The sequence below is a fragment of the Homo sapiens genome, chromosome 10 (genome assembly GCF_000001405.40).
Source record: "Homo sapiens chromosome 10, GRCh38.p14 Primary Assembly".
Taxonomy (NCBI): Eukaryota; Metazoa; Chordata; class Mammalia; order Primates; family Hominidae; genus Homo; species Homo sapiens.
In genome coordinates this window covers 11,050,287-11,072,929 of record NC_000010.11, presented here as the reverse complement: position 1 = coordinate 11,072,929, position 22,643 = coordinate 11,050,287, and the positions used below count along the sequence as shown (strand labels likewise).

At 41.1% G+C, this 22,643-nt stretch overlaps 1 protein-coding gene and 1 long non-coding RNA gene across 61 annotated transcripts in view, besides 1 other annotated feature; one reads left to right on the top strand and one right to left on the bottom strand.

The window, feature by feature from the left end:
* The window catches only part of CELF2-AS2 (CELF2 antisense RNA 2), a 33,948-nt gene extending 32,559 nt beyond the window's left edge, over positions 1 to 1,389 (top strand). The window contains exons 6-7 of the long non-coding RNA NR_046108.1: positions 55 to 1,120; positions 1,236 to 1,389. This is a non-coding gene — a long non-coding RNA (CELF2 antisense RNA 2). The remainder of the gene's footprint in view (positions 1 to 54; positions 1,121 to 1,235) is intronic.
* Positions 1 to 22,643, bottom strand: part of CELF2 (CUGBP Elav-like family member 2) — an 874,126-nt gene that overhangs the window by 263,746 nt on the left and 587,737 nt on the right. The window lies entirely within an intron of this gene.
* Positions 358 to 1,557: an enhancer, noted in NCBI's record as "BRD4-independent group 4 enhancer chr10:11113336-11114535 (GRCh37/hg19 assembly coordinates)". NCBI's record gives its function as "activates an origin of replication core promoter dependent on BRD2, P300/CBP, MED14 and CDK7 cofactors, and independent of BRD4, by STARR-seq in HCT116 cells {active_cell/tissue: HCT116}" and the evidence as "EXISTENCE:reporter gene assay evidence [ECO:0000049][PMID:35650434]".

The window sequence follows — 22,643 nt, the reverse complement described above, 5'->3', positions numbered from 1 at the left end:
ATAGTTATTAAAAATGTTTTCTATGTTTTAAAAACCAATTTTATTATGTTTCAGGGATATCTGCTTCCCATCCTCAGTTAGCATACCTCCGTTTTATAATGTAAAAAAAAAAGGGAAATCAGGATTCACCTAAATGAATATCAATCAAATGGATATTCCACAACTCAAGTGATACCTGTGAACCCGAGGTGTTAGTAAACTTAAGGGTCACCATCTACAGACTCCACAGGGATGGGAGATACTCTTGTGCTCCTATGGTTGGGGCTGCCTCTATATCCTTTGCTTTAAAATTCAGAAGGAGTGAAGATCAGCTCAGGCAATAATGCTGGTTTGTCCCAGAGTCCAGAATCTGCTATGTTACCCAGAGTCTCTTATGCTCAAAGAGGCTGTCAAAGAACGGGGTGTGGCTACCGTGGCCTCCCAGGGGCAAGTGGTCACACTCCAGCCTCACAAAGTGAGCACTGACTGTAGAGGTTCCACTATGGTCATGGTCTTAGCAATATGCAGGAAACACAGTCCAACCATTCATTGTCATCTGGGTAAAATACAATTAAACATCAAAGACTTGAGTCTCACATAGTGACATCAAAATCTTTCCCTCAAGGCAAAGAAACAACTTGTCACATGCACTTAAAAGAGGTTCTATAAGTTAACATTAGAGAGAGGAGGAGAAGGTACAAAACCCTGGGAGAGAAAAACACATAATTCTCTCAAATTAGTGTCTTCCATGGGCTGAAAACATCTATTAAATGGGGACTTTGATCCTAAAGAAAAAACGACAAAAGAATGTTGCTCGACCTCACCTCTATCAACTTTCCTCTGTTTCACCTGGAATGTGTAACTCAGCTGTCCACATCTTGGACCACTTGACCATGCTGTGTGATCCTAAGGACATAACCCAAAAGGCAATCTCCAAACTCACGGTGTCGTCACCAATTCAACATTTCTATTTTAATGTGGGATCAACTTGTCATGGTCACAATGCTGATTATGACTTCCATCCAGTTTTCCTTCTATACATGTCCAAACATGTCACCAACATGACCCCATTGACTCGGGACTTGTCAGGGGTGAGATATGAAAGGATTCAGATCTGTTTTGTTCCTGCGTGGGGTCCCAGGTAAGAAGAACTGAGATTATAATAAGTGGGTTGGTGAAGCAGCAGAAACAAAATCCTGTACTTGTTTCCAAAGCCTCTGGGAAATAACACTGGTTTTATTATTTTCATTTCTCAGAACTACTTCCAGCAGCAAGACAGTTAAGAGACACATTGGATGAGGCAACAGCGGGGAAGAAAGGGAGCTGATCTTGAATTGGCTGTGTACTGACAGATTGTATGAATGAAAGCAATAAAAATAAGCCCCAAAATCTGGGTTTTGAGTGGAAAAATCTCTTGTGAAAGGCAGTTTATTTCAACTGCGATGTTATCTTTGTGTCGAAGATAAGTCAGGAAATGTGTAGCCTCAGTCACCTGGGTTTGAATCCCAGTTCTCCCTCTTCCTAGATGTTCGACTCTGGCAGGGAAGTAGCCTCCTCTGAACCTTACTTTTATCATCTGTAAAACGGAGGTAATGAAACCAACCTCATATAGTTGTTGTGAAGAGTAAACCAAGATAAGACATGTTGGATGCCTGGTGCAATAAAACTTCATGCCCCTGAGCTTGCTCCCAAGAACCAGCGCATGTCCTAGCTGGAGGCTTGCTGCAAAACACAGGCCAAGTGGAACTCAGGGAAGCACGACAATTCAAAGGGATCAGGAGCTCTCAAGTCGTTCATGAAGGTAGAAAACTGATTTAAATTACAGCAGAATTAGCCTCGATAAATAAAACATAAACAAGATTAAAATAAATAGGATCACTGCTGTATTTATCTGGCCATTTGATATTACTGTGTCTTTACTCTCTACCACCTTTAAATAGCCAAATTTCTCAAAATAGTCATCTATACTATCCCCTTCTTTTCTTACCTTCCATTTCATAGCTGGCTAGTTCCAATCCAACCTATAATCTCATCACTTTATTGGAGTATCTCCCACTAAGGTTACCAAGTATCTCTATGTTGGTAAATTCCAAAACTTTTGTTCTTTCGTTTTCCTCTTACTAGACTCCTTAGTAGCAACTGATGCTATGCACCCTTCCCCGAACATTCACCTCCTCTGTCTTCCTTCACACAGTATCATGTTTTCTCCCATGCCACTGTTCTTCCTCCGTCTCCTTCACAAGCTCATCGTCTCTTCAGGCCACAAAGTATTGTTGGTCCCAGACACTGGGACTTAGATGTTCTCACTTTATACCCCTCCCCCCAGATGATTTCATCTTTGCTCAAGATTTTCACGACTCAAGATGTTCACCTGAACTACATGCAGATGAACCTCCAACTCCACACCTCCAGCCGGAAATTTCTCACCAGGCCCAGTCCTGTATGCACAAGTGCCTGGTTCAAAATCACCTCAAATGCCATCATCACTTTTTAAAATCCAAGTGTGACAATGCCCGTCCTCTGCTTAATTCCCTTAGATGGCTTCCCTTGTTCTTAGAATCGGGGAAGAAATCCTCCTCATGTCTACAGGTCCCTGGATCATGGGTGCCCGCATCCTCTCCAGCCTCGCCCCACCGCTGGTGCTCTCTGCATTCCCACCACCTGAGCCTTCACTTAGTTCAAGCAAACCGTCTGTCTCCTACCCTGAGTCCTTTGCATGTGTTGTTCTCTCTACCTGAAATTCTCTTCCCTCCTCCTTTGCCTGCTAAACCCACTGTATACGAAGAAAAAAGGGTCATCACCAATGGACCTCTTTTATTTTTTTACTTTTTGAATGAATTTAAAGAATGATTTAGAGAATAAAACAAGAGTACAAACATTATTGGAAACATTAGTGATAACTTAAATAGCAAACCCAAATTTTTACTCCAATTTTCCTAGCTTTGAAGCTTCAGATACTCAAAACAGGTAACTTCCTTGAATGCAACTAACTGCTCTTCGACTGTCCTGAATGAAGCTGGAATATATCCACCTTACAAATGCTAACTCTAGGTTTGAACGTAGCTCTAATAGGTTCTAGCTCATCATTACTTCTGGTTCTTTTCGTAGCTGCATGATCAAAACGCAGTATCTTAACATGTGACGGCTCATAGTTTTGCTGATGAAAGGACAGCCATATTCCTGGCTTAATAATTACGAAACACTTTCATTTCTGGATTTGGTGCAATCAATTAGAGTGACAAGCCAATGATTCTTTTCATTTCTACATCATATATTCCTTCTAACCACCTCTGTATACACACCTGCATTTGTCCACTTATAAAAACCATATGAAGTACATTTTCCATAAACAAACATCTTAAAAGATGAAATAATTTGTCACATGTCCTTCTAGCAAAAACAGAATGCTCCAGGTTTTTGCTGCAAAATGTTGCATGATGAAGTACTCCCTACTGAATGACTAACTGGATATGAATACCGTATTTCCTTTTCATCCATTGAAATGCATTACTGACTCACATGATTCCTGAGTTGAGGAAAATTCATCTGGGATATCTTCGTCTGAAGAATCTGAGATTTCACTTACACTATCAATTTCACCATCATCATTAGAGTCTAGAGAGCTTCTGTCTTTTGGCATTTATCTTCTGAATCATGTAGTAATCATGATCCTTTTCTTTGCTATCATGGGAGAAAATGATCAATTCTAAACTCTGTTCAACCAGAGATTTTTTTTAATTTACATAAAAACATTTCTTGACTTCTTTTATACCTGCTTGAAAGATACAAAAAACTGTGGGTCATGCAGTAAGAAAACTCAAGGATAATATAATAACACTTCACTATTGCATCAGCCTTATATTTGATTCCATCACTCACTGCTTTTCTAACATTTATTTTAGTATGGTTGGGAATAATTGATAAGCATGGATGAACAAATTCCTCAGATGATGAAATAGGAAAATGTTTCAAGATACAGAAAAGACCACTAAGACGTCACAACGTGTCTTAGGTGTACAAAAGGTCCAACAGAGCTATGTGGTAATGCTAAGACAGAATGAGTTGTTTTTTTGCCTTAAAAGAAATAATGAGGCCGGGTGCGGTGGCTCACGCCTGTAATCCCAGCACTTTGGGAAGCTGAGGCGGGTGGATCACGAGGTCAGGAGATCGAGACCATCTTGGCTAACACGGTGAAACCCCATCTCTACTAAAAATACAAAAAATTAGCTGGGCATGGTGACAGGCACCTGTAGCCCCAGCTACTCGGGAGGCTGAGGCAGGAGAATGGCGTGAACCCAGGAAGCAGAACTTGCAGTGAGCCAAGATCGGGCCACTGCACTCCAGCCTGGGCGACAGAGCAAGACTCCGTCTCAAAAAAAAAAACAGAAATAATGTTCTCATAATGTTCTGTTTGTTCCTTCAAAGACCTCTATGAAAGATTAAATTTATGCAACAGCAATCCTTTAAAGCACTTAAGGCATCTCATAAAAGAAACTCCAAAATTAAAATGGGGTCCAAGGGACCCTGATGGTATACTGAGGGTTGCAGGCAGCTCTTCACCTTTAAGATATTGGCATCATTGCCATCCTTTTCAGGGAAGATTTTCTGGATCTCCCTGATTAGGTCAAACTTGTCTATTATGCTGTTTTGTAATATCATTTTCTTCTCTCTCATAGCACTAACACAGTTGCGGTTTGACATTTATTGGTCTGATTAGTATGAGTATTTGGTCAATGTCTGCTCTCTCAATAAACTTTAAATAAGCGTAGAGACTGTGTTTCCTCAGCATCTGGAATCAGACATGACACACAGTAGGTTCTCAACAGGGACCTGGGAAAATGAGTCTAAATTTGGTTCTATCTCCACACTATGTGAAATAACTGTCATAATGGGTGAGAAGTGCCCACTATTGCTTCAGAATTTTTGCCTAAGAGATTGTTAACATATTTTCATCCTCCCCCCATCCCCTACTGTGTGATCCTTGACAACAGTGAAGGAAGTATTTACTAAGTACCTACTGGGATCAGGTGGTCTATGTTCAATGTTCTGTTTTAATTCTCAAAATCTTGCCAACTGAATATTCCCATTTTCACTTTACAGACGGGAAAGTGGGATTTAGAAGGTTAAATAACTTGCCCAGGGTCTCAGAACCAATAAATAGGAAAAGAGATTTAAATTCATGCCTGATCTGACTCTAACCTGTGTTCTTTCAACTTCAACCACTGGAAACACACAAGGGAAGCATGTTCTATTTCTTTTACAACTATCCAGAACACAGAGTTTCTTGCTTGGGAACCGGTGGGCACTAAGAGGTGTTGTCTAAAGAGCTATGATCCAATTTAAATCAATATTTAGATTTGGTTTGTCTTGCATGGGTTTTGTTTTTTTCTAAAAGGCTTGTACTGTCCTTGCCTTGTGTGTGGAATTTTATTTAAAGTAGAATATACGCCACACAGGCACTTAGAAGCGTTCTCATTTTCCTTGGACAACAGGAAGTCAGCTCCAGTGGATTAATAAGAGCAGTGTGCTACAGATATTACACATTTGCAAGCAAGTTTTACTTAGCAAATTCAGAAATAAAGTTCCCCAATGGACGACCTGCCTTTTACCGGCACTTCAAAAATATATTTCCACTGGCTATCAGAATGCTTGTTGCCATAAAATATCATGACTTAACGTAAGCCCAGTGTTTTTAATCTGCCAAATATGTACACATTTACGTACTCTTACAAGAGGTTATAATGGCTTCCTCCTTAGAACTCATTTCACTTCATACATTTCTATTACAAGCTGAGGTTCCTCCTTTCCAAATCCAACAGCAAAATCATGAGATGATGTCGCTAAAAGACATAAAAAAGCTAGAGTGACATTAAAGGACTAATAACTGGATGATGGAGGGAATTGAGAGTGAAGTCAAAGTTGCGAATTCAGGTCCCTCATTATAATTTCTACCTGTAGGCAAGAGTTCTATCATGCCACATGACAGTAACTACAGAGCCAAGCACAGTCTCACCCTGACTGTGCTGTTTACAACCGACAGCACCTACACCAGCGGTCTCAGGGGGAAGGGAGGAGATGCAGCAGGAGCTGGGGTTCTTGCTTCAATATACACATGCAAGTCTCTTAGCTCCCCCCACACCCTGGCACCTAGGAAACCATGCTGTAATTGGGAAATGGTAATTGGTAAGTCCCACAGATGAGTCCCCAACAAGCAGCAACCACTCCTCCTCCTTATCCCCGACAGACACACCTTGATCCACACAGTGCAACCAACCCACATGCACACCCCAGCTGACATAGTATCATCCTTTGGGCAACTACATATGTGAACGGTTAAAGAGCCTGAGGCTGACAAGTGGGATGCTCATGGGGGTCTGGGGAAATCTTAGGGTGGGAGGGCATGAGTGTTTCACTACTGTGGTTAAGAGTTAAGAGCCCACTGCCTCAGCTGGAATACTGACTCTGCCCTTGAGTGACCTGAGGTCCTCAGGTGAATCATTTATGCTCTCCCAGTCTCCGGGTCCTCCCCTATAAAATGAAGGTGATGACATGTACTGTTTGAAGTTGTTGTGAAGGGTCACAGGGTTAATCAACGTACAGTGATTGGCAGCACACCCACCATAGCAAGTATGAGCTATTGCTGTTACAATTTTCAGAGAAGGAAAAAAAAGGTGTGGTTCCAGAAAAGAGATGAAATTTAAGAAAAAAAAATAGTAGTTATCAAACAACTGATGAATGTCAAGGCACACAATGAAGCCAGCTCATTCTTCTGCTCAAATCCCTTTAAAGCTTTACTCCCGGTGCCATGGAAAACCTAACTGCTGACAAGGCCCTGTGTGGCTGGGACCCCACTTCCGGTGGCCTGATCTCCTTTTTTCCTCCTCCCTACGCCCTCTCAGCAGCCACAATGGCCTTTGGGTTCCTCCAACATGCCAGGTGCATTCCTGCTGTATGGGGCACTTCCAGTATAACTGCTTTCTGCCTGGACTACTCTACCCTGCATAAGCACGTGGCCTAATCCCTCAGTGGCTTCCTGGTTTTCTTTCAATTGCTCCTTCCGGAGAAAGCCTACCCTGATACCCTATTTAAAACTGCAACCCTCCCCGGGCCCTCCAAATCTGGAGCTCCTAGTTCTCCTTGCCCTGCTCTATTCCTACCCCTCACCCTGACCATAGTACCTTCTAAGTAAGTTGTTTTATTTATAGCATCTGCATTCCTCACTAGAGTGCACACTCAGCAATGGCGGGGGGTGGGGTTTGTCTGTCTTGTTCACTGATGCTCCATAAACATGTTTTGAAGGAATAAAATCTGAACTTCATATTTTAGATTTAAGTTTTTCCCTATTGGTTCAAAGAGGAAAACCACATCCTTGTGGGATCCCCCCCTCATTTTGACATGGATAAATCACAAACAACGACTGGAGCTCCTTATGATTCCAATGATCCAAGAAACCTCTAACCATCACACTAGATGGTTCACTGGATAGCAAACTACTTAGTGTACCGCATTTATTTCTACGCTTCTCTTTCCCAAAAGAATCTGAGCTCATTTCGGTAGTAAGGAATTTCCCTTTAGCAGTTCAAGAATTTACCGTCAGATCTACTGAAAGAAACCTGAGGAAACAAGATGATAATCTCACATTTTTGAAAATGCATCACTGTAAGACAAATACTTGCATACACAACACCATACAATAATTTCTAGGACAGATATTGATGTTTTGATCACGGCAATCATCAAACTCGTGGCCACCAGAAAATCCCAAGATACACTGACCACCTCTCCAAAGAGGAGACCTTGTTTAACAGAAGGTGAGCTCCTTAAGTTATGAAAGGAAACTCACCCTTAAGATACATAAATTGCTTAACTGCTTGAACTGCTTGATTGCTTTGATAGCAGGGAACTTCACTTCGATAGCAAGCACTTCACACTGATAGAGATGTGCATTACAGGATTACCAGGGATAGTCTAGGTGACAAATGACACATACATCTTGAGAAAGAAACATTCCTGAAATGGAGACTGGGCCTGCAAAGCTTTTGCAGTATTTTTCTACCTGGTCTAATGTTAGATGATTCCCTGACTACCGGAGGGTTTGTACTATGCCAGGTTTATCCCAGCTCAAGCAACAGATTTTTCTCTCTGACTGCAGGTCACATTATCTCATGAATGAACTGTTATTTAGGTCAGTAAAGAGTCTCCCCTAATTGAATGTGCCTTTTATTCCTGGTGCTCCTGCTCTATATATCAAGATTTTAAATCATATTTGGGGGGTGGGGAAGAGATTGGTATGAGGAAGCAAAAGGGGATTGAGACATTTATATACTCTATTTGAAGCAGAACAGGTCAAAATACCTGAATAATTTTAAATCTTTCACTCTTAAATGATGGGTTCACTATGGTTTAACTGATACCACTTGCTTAGCTATTACTTCTTCCACAGTGTTAAACACTTTTTCTCCCTTAACAAGAAATGCTGTTTGATTTTAAACTTGAAGGTTACTGTTCCAGAAAAAAGAAAAGCAATGTATTGTTTCTTTCATCATAATAGGCAAACAAACAAAAATAATTCCTTGGTTGTAATAACCACAGACCACTCTGAAGGGAGTGCTGGTGGGACTGGCCTGCTGAAAACAGTCAATTAATCTAAATGTGGAACGTAGTTAAAGAGAAACCAAATCCACAAATCAGAAAAAGCATCAAGCACTGTGAAATGATTTGGAAAACCTAGCCCAGATCTAAGAATCAGGTTAAATCTGTCAGTGAAATGAGATGATTCTGTTAATTGTGCATTTAGACTTCGAGAAGACTCAATCTTTTGCCCGAAACAACAAGCATAAACTCCAGAAGGAGGGGATCAAGTCTCTCCCAAGCAGATGCTGGGAATCATGCCTGACACGCAGCAGACCCTTAAAGTATCTGCTGAAGGCACTCAGGAATTAGTTTCCTGTAGTTCAACTGAGTGAATGCAACTCCACCGATAAACAGCACACTCCAGGAGCTACAAAACATCAGATTATCCATGCAGAACGCAAAAGGCATCAATCCACTCCCCTCTGGAAGCAAAAGCCAAAGATGCTCATTGTCACCTTTTAGAGAGTCCAACTTAATAGGGCAGAGACAGGCCTAGGCACAAGTGTCTCTAAAGAATTATTTAGGTGATTTTAATGTGTGGATCAAAATGAAAACCACCAATCTATCAATACAATACTGAGTTCTTAAACCCAAACATTTTTACACGATGTCTTATCTACGTTAAGAATACAAGCAAAAAAAGGGTTTATTTAAAGACAGCTGCCACATTTGTGTAACACTTCAAAAGGATATGATATTTAGATTTCACATTTAAAATCTGTAACTATATTCTAAGGCATTTTATTGAGTATGAATAAACCTTTTATTTATGATGCTTTAACTTAAAATGTGACCCCAAATTACTCTGAAATAAGAAATGCTATGCACAGCGCTTAGCACACAGCAATGCTTTCAAATAAAAATTGGTAATTAAAATTCTCTAGTTTCAATATTGACATGTATATGTTCCCATGTGGAGATTTTATAGATAAGTCATGAATGTTTGGTAGTAGTCGCCTGACCATCTTAAGTCAACATCTTTCAATGATTTCAAATCACTTCAGATATCAAATGGGGAATAAATATTTCATAGGTAGCCCCCTTCTGTATGTGCCATGTTCCTAAATACTGACATACCTTGAGGATACAGCAGGTTTGGTTCCAGACCATCAAAATAAAGCTAGTATTTCAATGAAGCAAGTCACATGAATTTTTTGGTTTCCCAGTGCATACAGAAATCATGTTTACACTATACTGCAGCAAACCTATTAAGTGTGCCATAGCATTATGTCTTTTAAAAAGTACGTATCTTAATGTTAAAATACAGCATTGCTAAAAATTGCTAACTATCGTTTGAGTCTTCCGCTGCTTGCAATCGTTTTGCTGGTGGAGGGTCCTGCCTCGATGCTGATGGCTACTGACTGATGGCGGGGGGGGTGCTGCTGAAGGATGTGGCAATCTCTTAAAACAGGACAACCATGAAGTTTGCTGCTTTGACTGACTCAGGGAAAATTTTTCTGAAGCATCCCATGCTGTTTGATAGCACGTTGCCCATGTTAGAACTTCTTTTAAAATTGGAGTCAATCCTCACAAACCCTGCCACTACTTTATTAACAAAGTTTATGGAATATTATGAATCCTTTGTCATTTCAACAATGTACACAACATCTTCACCAGGTGTCCATCTCCAGAAACCGATTTCTTTGCTCATCCGTAAGAAGCAACTGCTCATCTGTTCAAGTTTGATCATGACACTGCAGCAATTCAGTCCCATCTCCACGCTCCACCTCTAATTCGAATTCTTTGCTATCTCCACCATACAGGGACTTCCTCCAATGAAGTCTTGAAACCCTCAGTTATCCATGAGGACTGAAATCCACTTCTTCCAAATTCCTGTTAATATTGATACTATGACCTTCTCCCACGAATCATGAATGTTCTTAATGACCTCTAATATGGTAAATCCTTTCCAGAAGGTTTTCAATTTACTTTGCACAGATCCATTAGAGGAATCACAATCTATAGCAGCCATAGCCTTACAAAATATGTTTCTTAAATAAGACCTCAATGTGGAACTTACTTCCTCTCCATGGGCTGCAGAATGAATGCTGCATTAGCAGGCATGAAAACAACATTAATCTCTTTGTACATCTCCACGAAAGCTCTTGGATGACAAGGTACATTGCCAATGAGCACTAATATCTGGAAAGGAATTTTTTTTTCCCCCCCTGAGCAGTAGGTCTCAACCGTAGGCATAAAAAATTCGGTAAACTGGCCAGGCTCACGCCTGTAATCCCAGCACTTTGGGAGGCCGAGGAGGGCAGATCACCTGAGGTCAGGAGTTCAAGACCAGCCTGGCCAACATGGTGAAACCCCGTCGCTACTAAAAATACAAAATTACCTGGGCGTGGTGGCAGGTGCCTATAGTTCTAGCTACTCAGGAGGCTGAGGCAGGAGAATTGTTTGAGCCCAGGCCGCAAAGGTTACAGTGAGCTGAGATCATGCCACTGCACTCCAGCCTAGGTGACAGAGCGAGACTCTGCCTCAATTAAAACAAACAAATAAAAAATTCAGTAAACCATGCTGTAAACAGATGTGCTGTCATCCAGGCTTTGTTGTTCCATTTACAGAGCACTGGAAGAGTACGTTTAGTAAAATTCTTAAGGGCCCAAGGATTTTTGGAGTAGTAAATGAGTAATGGCTTAACTGAAAGTCACCAGTTGTATTAGCCCCTTATAAGATAATCAATCTGTCCTCTGAAGCCAGACATTGACTTCTCCTCTTTGGCTACGAAACTTCTAGATGGCATCTTCCAATAGCAGGCTGTTTCATTTACCTTGAAAAACCTGTTGTTCAGTGTTGCCACCTTCATCAATGATCTTGCTAGGTCTTCTGGATAACTTGCTGCAGCTTCTTCATTAGCACTTGCTGCTTCACCTTGTACTTCTATGCTATGGAGATGGCTTCTTTCCTTCACCCTCATCACCCAACCTCTGCTAGCTTCAAACTGCTCTTCTGCAGCTTCCTCACCTCTCTCATCCTTCAAAGAATTGAAGAGTTATGGACTTGCTCTGGATTAAGCTTTGGCTTAAGGAACTGTTGTGGCTCATTTGATTTTCTATCCAGACCACTTCAATTTTCTCCATATAGGCAATAAGTCTATTTCACTTTATCACTTGTATGTTCATGGGAACAGCACTTTCAATCTCCTTCAAGAACTTTTCCTTTGCATTTACCACTTGGATAGAATGCTTGGTCCAACAGACCCAGCTTTCAGCGTTTCTCAGCTTTTGACGTGCCTTTCTCACTGAGCTTTAATTAATAATTTCAAGCTTTTGATTCTTTAGTCTTTCATTTGAACAGTTAAAGGCCATTGCAGGGTTATTAATTGACCTGATTTCAATTAGGAAATTGAAATTTGGGGTATAGAAAAGCCCAAGTGGAGGGAGAAAGACAGAGAATGGCAGCACTTCACACACAACTTTTATTAAGCTCACTGTCTTCTATGGGAACTGTTCCTGACACCCTGAAACAATTACAATAGTAACACCAAAGATCATGGATCACAGATCACTGTAACAGTTATAATAAAGTTTGAAACATTGTGAAAATTACCAAAGTGTGAAACAGAGATGCAAACTGAGCACATGTTATTGGGAAAATGCTATCGGGAAATGGCACCGACAATTTCAGACAGACACAGGGTCACCATAAACCTTCAATTTGTTAAAAAGGAAAAAAAAGGCAGTATCTGAAAAGCACATTCCAGTGAAGTGCAATTAAACAAGGTGCACCTGTATTCTATCTCCAAGCACATCAAAGGCTGATGACACTGTACTTCTAAGAGCAGCCAAGGAGAGTTTTAAAGACAGGAGCATTGAGGGTAGGCAATGCAGGAACATCTTTAACATCAAGAAACTCCACCATATAAAATATTTCACATACCCTAATTACACTTTTCCTGTAATTAATGATTTCATTCTAATGAGAGAATCTGGCATACTTGTACCTTACTCTTCAGAAGTACAAAATGCCCCTGAATCCTGAAGGCACCACTGACTATGCCGGGAACGGTGCACGCAGAGCTGTCCTATCCAGGAAGTTTTGAGTGGGGTTCACCCATTTCCTAGGGGCTGTATTGAATGGCAAAGTGTATTCCATGTTCTTTCAGGTATGAGAATGCAGTAAAACTGCTGCTGGTACCTCTGAGATCATGGGGCTGTTCAGTGACTTGGTGGGACAAACTAGACTTCAACTCTTCAAATACTGTAATCTCCATTCACAAGGAAGTCAACAGCACCAACTCTCTTACTAGACTTCTCTTCCTCTTGCATTTTGAGCACAAGCCTCTGATTTCAAAGATGTGTTTCTGATACACTTTTAAATAAAAAGAATCCAAGAAAAAGAACTATGACCAATTCAACGGCTTTTGAGCATCTATTCTGTGCTAAGCTTAAGCGTGTGAAAGTTGAAACCTATCCTAATCAGATAAACTCCAGCAATTTAAATGCAAAGGCTCTATTCCCTCCTTCAGGTGCACTATTCCAGGGATTTCAGATATTCAACAAAATTAGTTTGGGGGAGTCCTTCACCAGCTAAGTTTCCTTAAGTGAAAGCACTACCCTTCACTCTTCCAGTGCCTGAGGCTGCGCTTCCCTCTGGCTGATACAAATCACTGCATTTTCCATACTCTGTCCTGATGGCTGCTATCTCGGAGTCTGCAAGGCTATGGGCTTATTGCAATAGCACAACTCTTTCCTTGGACTCCAAGCCTTCTCCTTCAAGGTTTATATCTTTGAGGCACAGAAACAAGAGCAGTCACATGGGATATGTTTTCACCATCTCACCAGAATTCTCCTTCAATCAGCCTTAGCCTTAAAAAGACCGTGCTAGGTAAACAAAACACTTTCCTCATGGTGAGAAAAGGGCCCATTTTCCCTGAGAAACTGTTTGGTAAACGGTCTTAAATTTGCTCCCCACCTTAGTAAAATGGCTCAAACCCTCCCAAATTACCAGGCCAAATGATCAGGTACAGTATAAAGACAAATATACTCAAGCACAGGTTTTCCACCCTAAAACAGACATGCAAGTCTAGTCAAATCAAGTCAAAAAGCCAGGGATTAAGGAATAGAATGTGTATTTCAGCTGACTGATTAAAATGGCATCATGTGATGAGCCATGGTGAAATGAGTCAGAGAGCCTGCGTTCTAGTGATGGTTCTGTTTACTAGTGGAGGGCGCTGAAGTAGCAGTTTGTTAACCATGTCTGTTCCTTGACTCATACATAAAATAGAAGGACAGACGCAATGGCTCACGGCTGCAACCCTGGCACTTTGTGCGGCCAAGGAAGAAGCATTGCTTGAGCCCAGGAGTTTGAGACCAGCCTACGCAAGATGGCGAAACCCCCCGTCTCAACAAAAAAATTAAAAATTAGCCGGACATGGTGATAAATGCTTGTTATCCCATCTACTCAGGAGACTGAGGCAGAAGGATCACTTGAGGCCAGGAACTCCAGGTGGCAGTCAGCTATGATTGTGCCACTGCACTCCAGCATGGGCAACAAAGTGACATACTAACTCTAAACAAAACAAAACAAAACAAAACAAAAAAGCCCGGGCGCGGTGGGTCATGTCTGTAATCCCAGCACTTTGGGAGGCTGAGGGGGGTGGATCGCCTGAGGTCAGCAGTTTGAGACCAGTCTGGCCAACACGGTGAAACCCCTTCTTTTACTAAAAATACAAAAATTAGCCAGGTGTGGTGGTGCATGCCTGTAATCCCAGCTACTCGGGAGGCTGAGACAGGAGAATCGCTTGAACCTGGGAGGTGGAGGTTGCAGCGAGTCGAGATCGCACCACCGCACTCCAGCCTGGGTGACAGAACAAGACTCCATCACAAAAAAAAAAAAAAAAAAAAAAACCAACAAAAAAAACCAACAGTACCTCACCTAATTTGCTTTTATAGGTTGTTGAAAAATAATACTTTATACTTTAACACAGTAAGTTAAGATAAAACTCTTAAAGCCAGAAGTGAAGTGGGATGCAAATATAGTGTAACTCCTTAAAATCAGCCTTTTCCATTAGAAGCACACACCAGGGCAGTGACAGCTATATACAGTCAGACTACAGGAGAATAATTCACAGACAGTACTTAACAATGTTACCGCATGGCTGAGCTCAAGCTAAACTGGTTTAGTATTTTATGCCTACTTGTTTGCAATAAATACTACAACTCGACTGGAACATGCCAGATCCTCCACTGGATCCAGAAGGGCAGGTTTTAACATTAGATTCCGTTTTTTTTTTTTTTTCCTCTTCAGATAATCTATTCCCATTTGGTTGGGCGTAAAGTATTTCCATTTTGCTTAGCCTCTTTTTTCTTTTCAGGCAATCTAAAAGCTAGACTAAAAAAAAATTAAGAGGAAGAAGAAAAAGCTTCCATTTAACATGTCTTGCTAACAGTAGAAAGTAGAACTTCTCTTGCTAAATATAATTGTTCTTTGTGGTAGACCGCTAGCAAATGTCAGAATCTTGTTGGATGCAGTATCTTAAAATGCATCTTTTTCTGGCAATATGGGTTAAAGGGATGATGCTGGGGTATGGAGAAACAGGCTGTTAACCAAAAACATTTTGTGACTCCTGTATTCCCGAAGTCATAATCTGACAATCACCATCCCCACGTTACATCCTTATGCTTAAAAAGCCAGCTTCAAGTACTTCATCGGGGGGAAAAAAAGAGAAAACATACTACGTCAATGGCTTTGAGCGTATAATCAGTGTTTGTATCCATAAAGGCCAAACATTCTCTTTGGATCAACACTTATTCAAATGCTATCCTCCCCCACAAGGCCGTGGCTGAGGCTCCTTTGTGAGAGTTCCATGGTGAGTAGTTGTTTATATCAGGCTATGAACTTGTTTTCCTTTTTCTCCTGTTTTCTCTATAGATTAATATTTAGCAAAATGAAAATCTCCTCCAGGTGTTTACCTGGCTGTATTTCAAGGCATTCTTAAAATCACTGTTTCCTCTGGCACGGGTCATGCTAGTAGAGCAAAAGCATGTGTTAGTTGGGCTGGACCACCCCCCACCCCACACATCCCCTACCCCTCTAGAGGCCCAGGCATCGCTCTCACAGGCAGGCGCACCTCGTATGACCCACACTGGCTCATTAGCTTCTGTTGCATCTCATGGAAGTCGGGTCTGGGACTTTTTGTTCTTTCAGGGGTTGTATCTGCTGCCTCTGGAGGTTGATTTTTCATCAGGGCAAACTGTTTCTCTGTTACACAGATGGTACCAGGGCCTCCAGGCACGGCTGCTCACTAATTGCCCCAGCACAGCCTCCCCTCCAACCTACCAACCTGGAATTCATTTGAGAGCAGGTGACTGGACACTTCACGCAGCGGTTCTTACTCACCCCTCCCCCAGAAGCATGTGGTTAGAAGGTTGAACATGGCGTGGGATTTTCCTCCTGTGGGCCTTGCCCTTCCCTGCACAGACTTCCCCCAGTACTATGACTTCTTTTTCTGGCATAAGTTTTCAGAGTTATTGCTAATGGACACATTTTCAGACTTTGATTAGAATGCCTGATCAATCAGATTTGCTTCTAACACTGGCTCTTAGTATCTTCTTCACCTAAGATAAGTGGTCTACTATCTTCATGAAAATGCATCCTCTGATCCTGCTTCATCTTAAATGTTTCACAAGGCTCATTTCTACCAAGAAATAAATCAATATGCTTTGTAAACATTTCATTCTACTCTTAAAATTTATAATCCTTGACTCCCTTCTTATACGATTCAAATACCTTCCCTTTCTGCACAAGAATTCCTCTAAGATCCAACCACATCCATCTTTCTTGCTCTCTACCTTAGTGCATTTTATGGAAAGTATGCTTATAATTGCATCTTACAATTCTCTTTATCTTACAGTGAAACTATCAGTGTTGAAAAGCTCATGCAAGTGTAATAAATTATTACCTGATTGATTATCAACTACAGAGCAAGCTATTAGGCACCTATTCCTAGCTATGCATCTTAGAAAAGGCAGACGTGATTTATAAAAACATCGAACCACTCATTTCCTGCAGAAACAACAAAGCCTCATTTAAGGAATAACCCCACAAATATGACTGAGTGTGAGAGGGCATATTCTATATGCAGAATGAATTATTAGAATGATTATGAATACATTTTAAAGAGCTTTATAGAATTGTGGAATATAGGGTCCCATATTGCACACACACTTCTACCTATAACAAAAATCTCCAGTTTCCATCAGAGGGTTTATCTATACATGGGCTCAGCATTCCCATTTTCAATGGACAAACATGCTGAAACCAATTGTTTAAAACAAACAAATGCACTTTCTAAATGCACTTCTTGGATTTAGGCCATTGTCACAAAATCACTACTCTTCTCTGTGGCTCCCCTATCTGCTTTTAAAGCTTTGTTTTCAAATACAAAAGCAGATTTAAGCATTGCTTGTAGTGAGTGCTGTAGATGGGATTTAAATAATACAGCAGTTGGGACTGAAAAGGAACCTTTAGAAATGGCTAGATGGGGGATACTCCAGATGGGGAGAGGGAAAAGAAGAAAAGACTCACATGTAAGAGCTTTCAAGATGGCGGCCACAGCACTTGCACTGGGCCTACAGAATAGTCTGCCGTGCCTTCCAGACGCTATCAAGAGTTTGGGAGAGCAATCGGGATCAAAATTAGGCCACATTTAGCAAAGAATGTCTTTCCACTTCAGAAACCACTGCACAGAATATCAGGTTTAGAACGAATCTTAAAAACCATCTAAGCCAAGAACATCTATCCCAGTCACTCATAAGTGTATGAAGCATGAGGGCACAGGGATGAGGAAAGATTCTGAAAGGAGAAATGCACCTGAGAGTGCCTATGGCACCTGTGTCTCCACATTAAAACTATTCCCAGGAAAATGATACTCGGTCAGCCAAATAGTTCCCTTTATTATTCTTTCTCTCAGTTTTTCTGACTCAGAAACACAGGAATCTGATCCTGTTCATGAAATGCAGATTATGAGGAAACTGTAGTACTAGATACAGAATAATGGGTATCAATGTGGACTTGTAAAGGCATTCTACAAAGGTATAGTCTACCTATCTGCTTTGTGTTAATGTGTATTTGTCTTTCACCTAGTGAAGTACACCAGGAGAAAATACATGTGAAGTATCAGTTAATATCTGTCCCATCAACTTGTTTTCCAGTTATTCTGGACAACTGAAATTTGCAAGAATAATACATTAACACATGAAACACAGGTTATGAGCATTACAGTAACATCTGTAATTCAATCAATTTTCAAAATCTACAACAGCTCAAAACTTTCTCTAAAAGAATACACTAGAAGCCGGGTGCGGTGGCGCAAGCCTGTAATCCCAGCACTCCAGGGGGCCGAGGCAGGTGGATCATCTGAGGTCAGGAGTTCAAGACCAGTCTGGCCAACATAGTGAAACCCCATCTGTACTAAAAATACAATAAGTAGCTGGGATTGGTGGCGGCCGCCTGTAATCCCAGCTACTCAGGAGGCTGAGGCAGGAGCATCACTTGAACCCAGGAGGCGGATGTCGCAGTGAGCCAAGATTGTACCACTGCACTTGAGCCTTGGTGACAGAGCAAGACTCCAAAGAAAAAAACCACTAGAAAAGAAAGTCTTTTTCTTCCCTTAACAATCTTAACTCTCCTGTCGTGACTTTCATTTGACCTTCATGTTTCACATCAGTCAGTGCCAATCCACAGACTACACGTCCACCAGAGTGTCCTGTAGGCCACTATGAAATGAGATAAAGACAAGGTCAATTCTTCATAAATTGACATTAAGTTAAAAGACGGTCCTATTAACACACACACACACACACACACACACACACACAAACACACATACACAGTTGTTTTCTTCTTTAAAAAATTATGATGAAAACTGATGATAGATTTTTTAAAAATATCCTTGCCAAAATAAAATCTTAGCACCTTACATATGTTCCTCCAAGTCTAGGAACCATTGCCATAAATATCAACCGCCTCTTCCTCGTGAGACCACAGTAACTATGGGATGATACAATAAGGGCAAGATGAAAGATCAAAGCTTTGGTGAAGGAAAGATAATGGAATAAAAGACACGGCTGTGTATCCTGTAATTACCACTATACAAACAGGCATCAGCTTTGTAGTAATAATCGTAGAGCATTTATTCTGCACTTCCTATATGCCAGGCTTTTTACTCTTTTATGAACAACATCTCACTTGTCACAGCTTGAGGCTGTAAGTTGAATTATGTGTTGCTTACTAAAGATACTGGAAATTATACATCAAAATTCATTTTGGCTATGTTTAGATAGTATCAAAATGGGGTATTTTCCAAAATTAGCAAATATAGTTTTATTATTGGTAATAATATCATTAATAAAAACGATAAACAGAACTGACAAAAGTACATTCAAGAAATATCAGGCCGGGTGCGGTGGCTCACACCTGTAATCCCAGCACTTTGGGAGGCCGAGGCGGGTGGATCACGAGGTCAGGAGATTGAGACCGTCCTGGCTAACATGGTGAAACCCCATCTCTACTAAAAATACAAAAAATTAGCCGGGCATGGTGGTGGGCGCCTGTAGTCCCAGCTACTCGGGAGGCTGAGGCAGGAGAATGGTGTGAACCCGGAAGGCGGAGCTTGCAGTGAGTGGAGATCACGCCACTGCACTCCAGCCTGGGCAACAGAGCAAGACTCTGTCTCAAAAAAAAAAAAAAAAAAAAGAAATATCAGAGTATGCCTACGAATGCCCAAATAGTCTTTTTTTTTAAAAAATGTGTGTTTCTTGGAACAAGAATAACAAATTTGTTGATGCAAAAAATTCTTTTAGCCTAAAAATGGAAGAGTTAAAGAGAAAAAGTATTTCCCCCTAATCCATCCACAACACATACTTGAAACTGATTATGACTGTGTTTGAATGCATTTTGATTCCTTAGCTATGCCTCTCAGGTGAAAGGACCAATGGCAAGAGGAAGCAGAGGATTCATGCACTAGAAAATACTGAGAGAGATCAGAGTATTCTGTCTACTTCACTGAAGATATGGTCTATTGAGGGAAAACTAATTAACAGTTGATCCAAGGAACAAAAGAATGCTGTTATGTGACATTTTGTTGGGAAACTGACTGTAATAATAATAAAACAAATGTCCAGAGAATGTGTCACATAATTACAGTGTTTATGGTTGATAATTCAAAGGCATAGATGAATTGGATTCTTCTGCAGGTCTCCTTTACCCTGTGAGTACAACTTACTTTGCTATAACCTTGGTTTTCCAGAAAATAAATTTTAAAGTAATGAACCAATACTACAAGATTAAAGAAGAAAACATTTAAAAAAAAAACTCAGGCTGTAATCAAAATGGAAGTTAAATAGAATAACATGACATTTCACTCTAAGGACAAGAAGCTCTGAAAAGTTAGTATGGACCAGTTGTGTGATATTGTAGGAAAATAACATTTTGACCTGAGAAGCCCTCTACTACATGATTTACTGGTTCCAGTGCCTGAATCCACTTCCTTCCTCTTCCCAGGATATGGTATCATCCTGTACATTCCACCATAATAATGGGGCCATCTACTTGCAGAGTTACTGCTTGGATCAAACAAGATAATGAACAAAAAAGACCTTTCGTTGTAAAGGATACCATCATACAAGGTTACCGTCAGAGAAATGTGTTAAGGATCGGCAGAAGTGCCAACTAAACACAAAACTATTGAAGGATGTAAAGAAAGGTATAGTTTACCTAATTGCAGTTAGCTTTTCATTTTTCAATACGGAACTGCTTGGTTCTGAACAGGACAAAAGTTCATCTGATAACCCACAGGACATCACCCAAGGACCGTGCAACAATGATCATCTAAGGAAACAAGCATCAGCATCTGAGCCCAAACAACCTACAGGTCAGTAACAGCATAAAGAAGCTTCAATCTCAGGTGTCTGCATCAAGCAAGGTTTAATCATAGTAACTAAAAAAATGAATTATCTGAACTAACTTTGGCAATGTCTTTGAAAAAAGGTAATGATCTCTACTGGTTGTCTTCTCAGACTTCCCTAAATGTTCTACAGACACAATTTAGCAAAAGAAAGTATTAAGAACAACAGCCTAGAATGGTGGCTCATGGCTGTAATCCCCACACTTTGGGAGGCCGAGATGAGCAGATTGCTTGAGCCCAGGAATTCAAGACCAGCCTAGACAACATGGCTAACACCATGCCCAGCTAATTAGGCATTTTGGGGCTCATGACAAGACTGTAAAATACCTAATTAGCCAGCGTGGCATTGCACACCTGTAGCCCCAGCCACTTGGGAGGCTGAGGTGGGAGGATTGCTTCAGCCTGGTAGGTGGAGGTTGGAGGTTGCAGTGAGCCAACATTGCTCCACCGCACTCCAGCCTGGGCCACAGAGACCCTGTCTCCAAAAAAAAAAAAAAAAAAGTATTAACAATACATACACACACAAAAAAACAAAAACCTGCCAAAGTCTAGGAAGCAGTTAAGATCATTAGATTGTATGGTTAATCCTACATAGTGGGCAATGTGAAGGTATTTTATATGAAGCTCAAACGTTTCATCTTCAGTGAAGCCTTCCTTGACCAGCTTTACCACCAGTCAAATCGGGTCCCCTGTGCATACATTTTAAACTAGCTTGTAATTGTATCTTTGTGTGATAATCTGATTAACATCTGTCTCCCTCTCAAATTGGAGTTCCATGGAGGCAGTCACCGTATCTGTTATGAAACCTTAGCACATTGTGGTGCCTGGCACTTAGGTGTTCAACATACTGTAAATGAATAAATCCAATGCAATACTTGATCGGGCAGGCATCAGGCTGAGTTTTATAAACATGGGCTGTTTAGGTTGTTGGTACAGTTTATGTAAGCCAGACGAGCAAGAGAGGCAAACTCAAAGGAATATAGGCTAAGGATACTGCCAGATTTAAAATATTTTCCATAAATAATACATAGGTGGATAATCAAAAGAGAACTCTATGTTTTAGTTGTTTTCAATATTTAACATGTAAGGAAGCATTTCAAGTGAAATGCAGTAAAAGATGTTTTCAAGATAGCATCTGTATCACTGTCTGGCTCCAATACAACTTTTCTTCCAAGAAAGAACTAAAAAGCTAACCTTTTCAAGAAAGGTTATCTTTCTAAGAAAACCTAGAAACCAAAGACTATAGAGATTGAGCTCACAATCCTTACCCCTCCCAGACCTGGCCCTTCCCACAGCGAAGAAGTGTCCCCATGCTTTCAAGAAGGCAACATTAGATCTGTCAGCTTTCATGCATCTTGATCTAGCTGCTAAAAATAGAACTGGTCTTGGAAAATAGGCGAGGTTTTCTCAGGGTTCGGAGTTTTATTATTATCACTCCTTTCCTCACAGTGGAAGCTTTATGGAGGAGGATTCAGGAGGAAAGCAGGGAGGCAGGCAAACAAGAGGCCCAGTGGGCGAGTGAGTGAATGGTAGGGGAGGAGAGGGCCTGTGCTCAAGCATAATCTGCAGAGCTCTGCATGCAAGGCAGGGAAGGGCAGCCCCTGGGTATTGTGAGAAGAGGCACAACCCCATCAGACAGGCCTTAAGATCTGTCTGGCAATGCAGGGTGGAAGGGATTGGTGACAGAGAGAAGACAGGAGGCTGCACGATCATCTGGAGACAGAGTGGTGATGTTGGAATGGAAAGGCAGGGACTGATGGGAGATCACGGAAACAGGCCCTACAGAGCTAAGTGCTCAACCCAATATTAAAGAGTAAGAATGCACAGAAAGTGTCTGCACGTAGCTATGAATCCAAGATGACTGGCTCCCCACCAGCAGCAGGAGCTGCTACAGTCCAGCAGAACCAAATTAGAACCGACACTCCATGTTCAAGCCAGGCCAGGTTCCAATAATACAAATGTCTTCTGCTCGCCATGACTTCTGCAGCAGTGTCACTCATCTCACGCATGTCCCAGAAGTATCTGAAACCCAAGCCCAAATAATGTCCAGACAATGTAGTTTAATGATTTTTAAATGTTGCATTTTCTTTCACCATTTAAAAGAGATCAGTGCAAG